This window comes from Homo sapiens, chromosome 6 (assembly GCF_000001405.40).
Source record: "Homo sapiens chromosome 6, GRCh38.p14 Primary Assembly".
Lineage (NCBI taxonomy): Eukaryota > Metazoa > Chordata > Mammalia > Primates > Hominidae > Homo > Homo sapiens.
Window position 1 is genome coordinate 89,036,202 of NC_000006.12, and position 7,242 is coordinate 89,043,443.

Sequence of the window (7,242 nt, forward strand, 5' to 3'; positions counted from 1 at the left end):
ACCTAGTTCTTTTCCAGTGGATTTTCCTTTTATTAGAACTATGCTCTGGTAGGTTACTTAATTATTTAAAAACATCAACACTGAGCACTATTTTAAGCTAGACCTTGACTTTAAATTTCAAATATGTCATTATAGTATTTAATAAATATAAATTCAGTTTTTTAAACAGTTTTTGTGGTTTTTTACATTCCATGAAATTCACCCATTTGAAGTGCACAATCAAAAATTTTAAGTACATTCACAGAGTTGCACAATCATCACCACAATAAGAATTCATTTTTGAGCTTTTTATTTCAGTTTTTCAATAGATGATAATTTCAAGAGGAAATGATAGGCCACAAAAAGTCTGTAACTGGGGGATGAAGCAAGATGGCAGAATAAAAGTCCCCACCACTTATCCCCTGCCGCAGGAAGACCAAATTTAATAACTATCTGCATAAAAAAGCACCATCATTGGCCGGGCACGGTGGCTTGTGCCTGTAATCTCAGCACTTTGGGAGGCCAAGGCGGGCGGATCACAAGGTCAGGAGATCGAGATCATCCTGGCTAACATGGTGAAACCCCGTTTCTACTAAAAAATACAAAAAATTAGCCGGGCGTGGTGGCAGGCACCTGTAGCCCCAGCTACTTGGGAGGCTGAGGCAGGAGAATGGCATGAACCTGAGAGGCGGAGCTTGCAGTGAGTCGAGATCATGCCACTGCACTCCAGCCTGGGCAAAAACACCGTCATAACCAAAAATCAGGTGAGCACTCACAGTACCTGGCTTTAACTTCATCTCACTGAAAGAGGCACTGAAGAGGGTATAAAAGACAGCCCTGAATTGCCAACACCACCCACCCCTCATCCCCTCCTGCACCCCCACAGCAGCTGTTGCGTGGCACAGAGAAATGTGTGCTTGGGAGACAGAAAGCCCAGCATTGTGAGATTTTGCATTGAACTCAGTGATGCCCTGTCACAACAGAAAGAAAAACCAGACTGAATTCAGCTGACACTCACCCACAGAGGCAGCATTCAGACCAGCCCTGGCCAGAGGGGAAATCACCCATCCCGGTGGTTGGAACTTGAGTTCTGGCGAGCCTCACACTACAGGCTGAAGTGCTCTGGAGCCCTAAATCAACTTGAATGACAGTCTAGGCTGCAAGGACTTCAAGCCCTAGTGCTGTGCTGGGCTCGGAACTAGTGGACTTGGAGAGCACATGCCCCAATGAGACATCAGCCAGGGCAGCTAAAGGAGTGCTTATGCCACCCCTCCCCCAACCCCAGGCAGTGCAGCTCACAGCTCCAGAAGAGAACTTTTCCTTCTGTTTGACAAGAGGAGAGGGAAGAAAAGGATGACTTTGCCTTTCATCTTGTATACCAGCTCAGCCACAGTAGGATAGGGCACTGGTCAGAGTCATGAGGCCCTATTTCAAGCCCTAGTTCCCAGACAACATGTCTAGACACACTCTGGGACCGAAGGGAAACTACTGCCTTGAAGGGAAAGACCCAGTCCTGGCAGGATCCGTCACCCACTGACTAAACAGCCCTTGGGCCCTGGTTAGAAATTTATTCAACCAGACACACTCAATCATCTTTCTCAAGTTCAAAGTACTACAGATCTCTAGGGCAGGGGCAAAATGCCAGCAGTCTCTTTGCTAAAGCATAACAAGAGTCACCTTTGCTCCAGTACCCAACAAGTTTCTCATCTCCATCTGAGACCACCTCAGCCTGGACTTTATTGTCCATATCACTACCAGCACTTTGGTCAAAACCATTCAACAAATCTCTAGGAAGTTCCAAACTTTCCTACATTTTTCTATCTTCTTCTGAGACCTCCAAACTGTTCCAACCTCTGCCTGTTACCCAGTTCCAAAGCTGCTTCCATATTTTTGGGTATCTTTACAGCAGCACCCCACTCCTGGTACCAATTTACTGTATTAGTCTGTTCTCATGCAGCTAATAAAGACATACCCAAGACTGGGTAATTTATGAAGAAAAAGAGGTTTAAAGGACTCACAGTTCCACAGGGCTAGGGAGGCCTCAGGAAAATTCCAATCATGGCAGAAGGGGAGGCAAACATGTCCTTCTTCACCTGGTGGCAGCAAGGAGAAGTACAGAGCAAAGGGGGAGAAAAGCCCCTTATAAAACCATCAGATCTTATGAGAACTCACTCACTATCATGAGAACAACATGGAGGTCCCCATAATTACCTCCCACCAGGTCCCTCCCACAACATGTGGGGATTATGGGGACTACAGCCAAACCATATGGGTGGGGACACAGTCAAACCATATCACACCTGCTCCTCTTTAAACATGGCTGGAGGAAAACAATTAACCATATGAAGTGGCTCACATTAAATTATGACCACTATCCTTAGGTGTGCCCTTAGGGCTGCCTGACAATCCTGCATTTCCCTAAATCGTTCACTTTTTTGCACCTTCTCTTCTCACCTTAAATCTTACACAGTTGATGACCCTACCTCCCTTTCCCTAAGAAGAGGATGCAACCAGAAAAATAGTCTTCTACATGCTACCTTTACCACATTTACGATTTTCTCTGCCTTCCTATGAGTGTTGTCATGGATAAACTAAGCTCCTGTCCAAGGTCATTGTCTCCACTTGTGTACTAAATCCAATATTCTCTTGCCTACTCAAAGATAATTACCTCAGAAATTATCCCTCTGTTCTGCACAGTCAAATTTTACTCTCTACTAAATCATTTCAATCAGCCTATCAACATACTCTAAAATACCCTCATCTTTTTCTTTTTTTTTTTTTTTTTTTGAGATGGAGTCTCTCTCTGTTGTCCAGACTGGAGGGCAGTGGCATGATCTCGGCTCACTGCAAGCTCCGCCTCCCAAAAGATACCTTCATCTTAACATATGACGTTGTCTATCTCTCAACCCCATGTGTCCCTTCTGCCTGCCACCTTATCTGCCTCTCTTTACACAAAACTTGAAAGCATTGTCTATATGTGCTGTCTCCAATTCTTTTTCTTCCATTCTCTGTTGAACCTACTCCAATCATATATTTAGATGCCTGAGTGATATCACCAATGTATATTTATTAGGCATGTTAAATGTAGATGTCTGAAAGAAAATGCCTGATTCCTCAGCCCCTAAATCTGTGCCTCCTTGTTCTGTGAAAGGGCCATATATGCAAAGCAGCCTCAAATGCCTAAGGAGCCAAGAAACCCAAAAACGAGGCAGATGTAGGTCAGTATAGGGTGTTTTACTGGAAGAACTTACAGATGGAGGCACGGTCTTGGGAGGCCGCAAGACAGGTAGATTTCTGCATTGTTACTCCCCAGACCCAGGGCTTATGTACCATAGGGTAAGGGTGTACATGCTCCCTCCACCAAGACAATGAAAGGCAATCCTCCAGAACAGGCAAGAATGCTATATGCATCATAGCCTCTAATGTATGCGATAACATCAAGGTTGCTTTGTTTTTACACTTGGGACAGTAAATAAAGTAGAAACCAGGAGGCATTCACAGGACCAGGGCTAATCAGAAGTCAACATGGCAGATTAACCTCCAAGATGGAATCACTTTTGTCTCCACACTCCTGTATTCTTCCTCATCTTAGTAAATGGCAACTGCATCTTACCAGTTCCCCAGCCAAAAACTGGTTTTATCCTTGACTCCTCCCTTTCTCTCATTTTTTATGTTCAATCCATTGATAAAGTCTGTTAGCTCAATACAGAATACATCCTGAATTTCACCACTTCTTGCCACCATTATCATTACCACTGGGGATCACGATTTTATCACCTTCTGCCTGCATTACTGCATCAGACTCCCAATTGGTCTCTTTGCTCCCACCCTTGCCCCTCTATAATCTCATTTTAACATGGCAACCAGAATGGTCCTTTTTATTTATTTATTTATTTAATGTTTTTCCAGAGGTACAGTCTCAGTCTGTCACCCAAGCTGGAGTGCAGTGGTATAATTACAAATCACTGCAGCCTTGAACTCCTGGGCTCAAGCGATCCTCCCACCACAGCCTCCTCAGTAGGTATGAATACAGGGGTGCATGCCACCATACCTGGCTTTCTCTTTTTCGTTTTTTTTTTTTGAGACTGACGAGGTCTCCCTATGTTGCCCAGGCTGGTCTCGAACTCCTGGCCTCAAGCAATCCTCCTGCCTCAGCCTCCCAAAGCTCTGGAATTACAGACATGAACCACCATGCCTAGCCAGAATAGTCCTTTGTAAATGCAAGCATATCATGCCCCTCCTCTGCTTAAAACACTCCAACACTCCAATAGTTTCCCATCTCAAAGAAAAACTTTGCAACAAATTCATTACATAAACTACAGGCCCTACACTCTTGCCCCTTCTTACCTCTGTGTCACCATCTTCTTCTTTAAATTTTTTTCTTTTTTGAGATGAAGTCTGGCACTGTTGCCAAGGCTGGAGTGCAGTGGAGCAATCTCAGCTCACTGCAACCTCCACCTCCCGGGTTCAAGCGATTTTCCTGCCTCAGCCTCCCCAGTAGCTGGGATTACAGGCACGCGCCACCACACCGGGTAATTTTTGTATTTTTAGTAGAGATGAGGTTTCGCCATGTTGGCCAGGCTGGTCTTGGACTCCCGACCTCAGGTGATCCACCCACCTCGGCCTCCTAATGTGCTGAGATTACAGGGTGAGCCACTGTGCCTGGCCTTGGGTCACCATCTTCTGATTCTCCCTCTTAAATATTCTGTTCAGCCACACGGGTTTCCTTGCTGCTCTTCCAACAAGCCATATACATTCCTGCCTTAGGTTCTTTGTACTTGCCCTTCCTTTTGTTTGAACCATTCTTTCCCCCAGATATTGTTACGACTTTCCCCCTCATTTTGTTGAGGTCTCAACTCAAACCTTGCCTTATGAGTGAGACTTTACTTGACCACTGTATTCAAAACAGCAAAATCCAAAACCTCTATCCTCGCACTCCCAATCCCCCTTGCCCTGCTTTATTTTTCTCTATAGAACTTATCACCATCAGGGCCTAGCATGGTGGCTCATGCCTGTAATCCCAGCACTTTGGAAGGCCGAGGCGGGTGGATGACCTGAGCTCAGGGGTTTGAGACCAGCCTGGGCAACATGGCAAAACCCAGTCTCTACAAAAAGTACAAAAAATTTGCCAGGTGTGGTGGCATGTGCCTGTAGTCCCAGCTACTTGGGAAGCTGAGGCAGGAGGATTACCTGAGCCCAGGGAGCCTACAGTGAGCCATCCATGATCACGCCACTGCACTCCAGCCTGAGCGACAGAGTGAGGCCCTGTCTAAACAAAAAAAAAGAAAGAAAAAAGAGCTTACCACCATCAGGTGTGCTACATGTTTGTTTATTTTTGTGGCATCTCATGAAACATAAACCCTATCAAGGCAAGAACTTTGTTTTATTCATTTCCACATTTCCAGAGCCTAGAACAGTGCCTGGCATACTATGTGTCCTGTTTTATAATAAACACTGATGATACAGCGGTGAACAAAAAGACAAGTAGTGATAAGAGCCATGAAGAAAATAAGTCATATCACTGTAAAGGAATAGAGAGGGGTGGGAGTGTCATTTCAGAGGATATGTGAGGCAGCCTTTGACAGGATCCTTGAATTTAGTGTAGGAGTGAGCCCTGCCGAGGTCTGGGGAGTGCGTTTCAGACAGGCTCCAGCAAGAGAGGCCCTTAGACCAGGCCAGCTTGGCATGACCAAGGAAAAGCAAGGCTAGTGCGTGGGGAGAGGCAAGAGAGGGAGTGAGAGTGATCGGAGAGGTAGTCAGGGGTCATGGTAAGCACTTGGGATTTTTCTCTACAAGATAGAAAGCTGTTGGAGGCTTCTGAGCAGACCAGTGACAGGATCTGATTCTCATTTTAAAAAATCACTTTGCAAACACCCCATGTTCTCACTCATAGGTAGGAATTGAACAATGAGAACACCCGGACACAGGAAGGGGAACATCACACACCGGGGCCTGCTGTGGGGTGGGGGGAGGGTGGAGGGATAGCATTAGGAGATATACCTAATGTCAATGACGAGTTAATGGGTGCAGCACACCAACATGGCACATGTATACATACGCAACAAACCTGCACGTTGTGCACATGTGCCCTAGAACTTAAAGTATAATTTAAAAAAAAATTTTTTTTTTAAATTTAGTTGCCATGTGGGCAACTAAATGTAGAGGGGCAAGGCAGGGCAAAGGGAAGCCAGTTAGGTGGCTTCTGCAGTGTTAGGTGGGAGTTGAACTTGGTAGTAGCAATGAAGGCAGGGAGAAATGGTCATATTTGAGATTTTATATATATATAATAATTTCAGAGAGAGAGATATATATATATATATATATACATATATATAAACGCTCACATATATATCTCATAGGATTTACTGATGGATTAGGTGTGAAATGGGAGAGAAAAACATTAAAGGATTACCTTAAGGTTTAGCCCCGAGCCACTGGAATGGGGAACATTCAAGAAGGAATAAGTTTGGAGGTGGGGAGTGGGTGTTTAAATCAAGAGCATCCAAGGAATGGATATGGACAGAGATATCCAAGGACTGAACCCTGAGATGCTCAGGACAATGGGAAGAATTAGTCAAAGGAGACTTGGAGAGATACAGGAGAGGAAGAACAGGGTGGAGTGCTGGAAACCAAATAGAATAAAAAAAGGTTTTAAGAAACAGGAAGTGATCAATTGTGTCAAATGCTGCTGACAGGTGGAGTAAGATAGGACTGAAAATTGATAATAGGATTTGGCAATGGAGAAGTCACTGAAAAAGTGGTTTTGGTGGTGTGGTCGGCGGGGCAGAAAGACTGATCATAGTGGGTTAAAATGGATCTGATAGATTTGGGATCATGTAGTACTAATTATTGGCCTTGGGCAAATCGTTTAACCTCTCTGCCTTTTTGTTTTCTCATCTGTCAGAAGGGACTTATAACTGTAATCATCCAATGGGTTCTTCCTATCCACTGCACAGATAAAATCAGTTCATAGTGTTGAACCAATGGATGCTGAAGTGGCAAGATCACTTGAGGCCAAGACTTTGAGATCAGCCTGGGCAATATTGTGAGACCCTGGCTCTGCAAAACATAAAAAATTCAGCCAGGTGTGTTGGCTCATGTGTAATCCTAGCTACTTCAGAGGCTGAAGTGGGAGGACTGCTTGAGCCCAGGAGTTTGAGGCTGCAGTGAGCTACGATCACACCAGTGCACTCCAGCCTGGGTGACAGAGTTAGACCCTGTCTCAAAAAAAAAAAAAAAAAAAAAAAAGAGCCTATATAAGAC

General features: G+C 44.7%; 1 annotated feature.

The window, feature by feature from the left end:
• Positions 6,496-6,696: a silencer, noted in NCBI's record as "peak5950 fragment used in MPRA reporter construct". NCBI's record gives its function as "represses an SCP1 promoter by STARR-seq MPRAs in K562 erythroleukemia cells {active_cell/tissue: K562}" and the evidence as "EXISTENCE:reporter gene assay evidence [ECO:0000049][PMID:32103011]".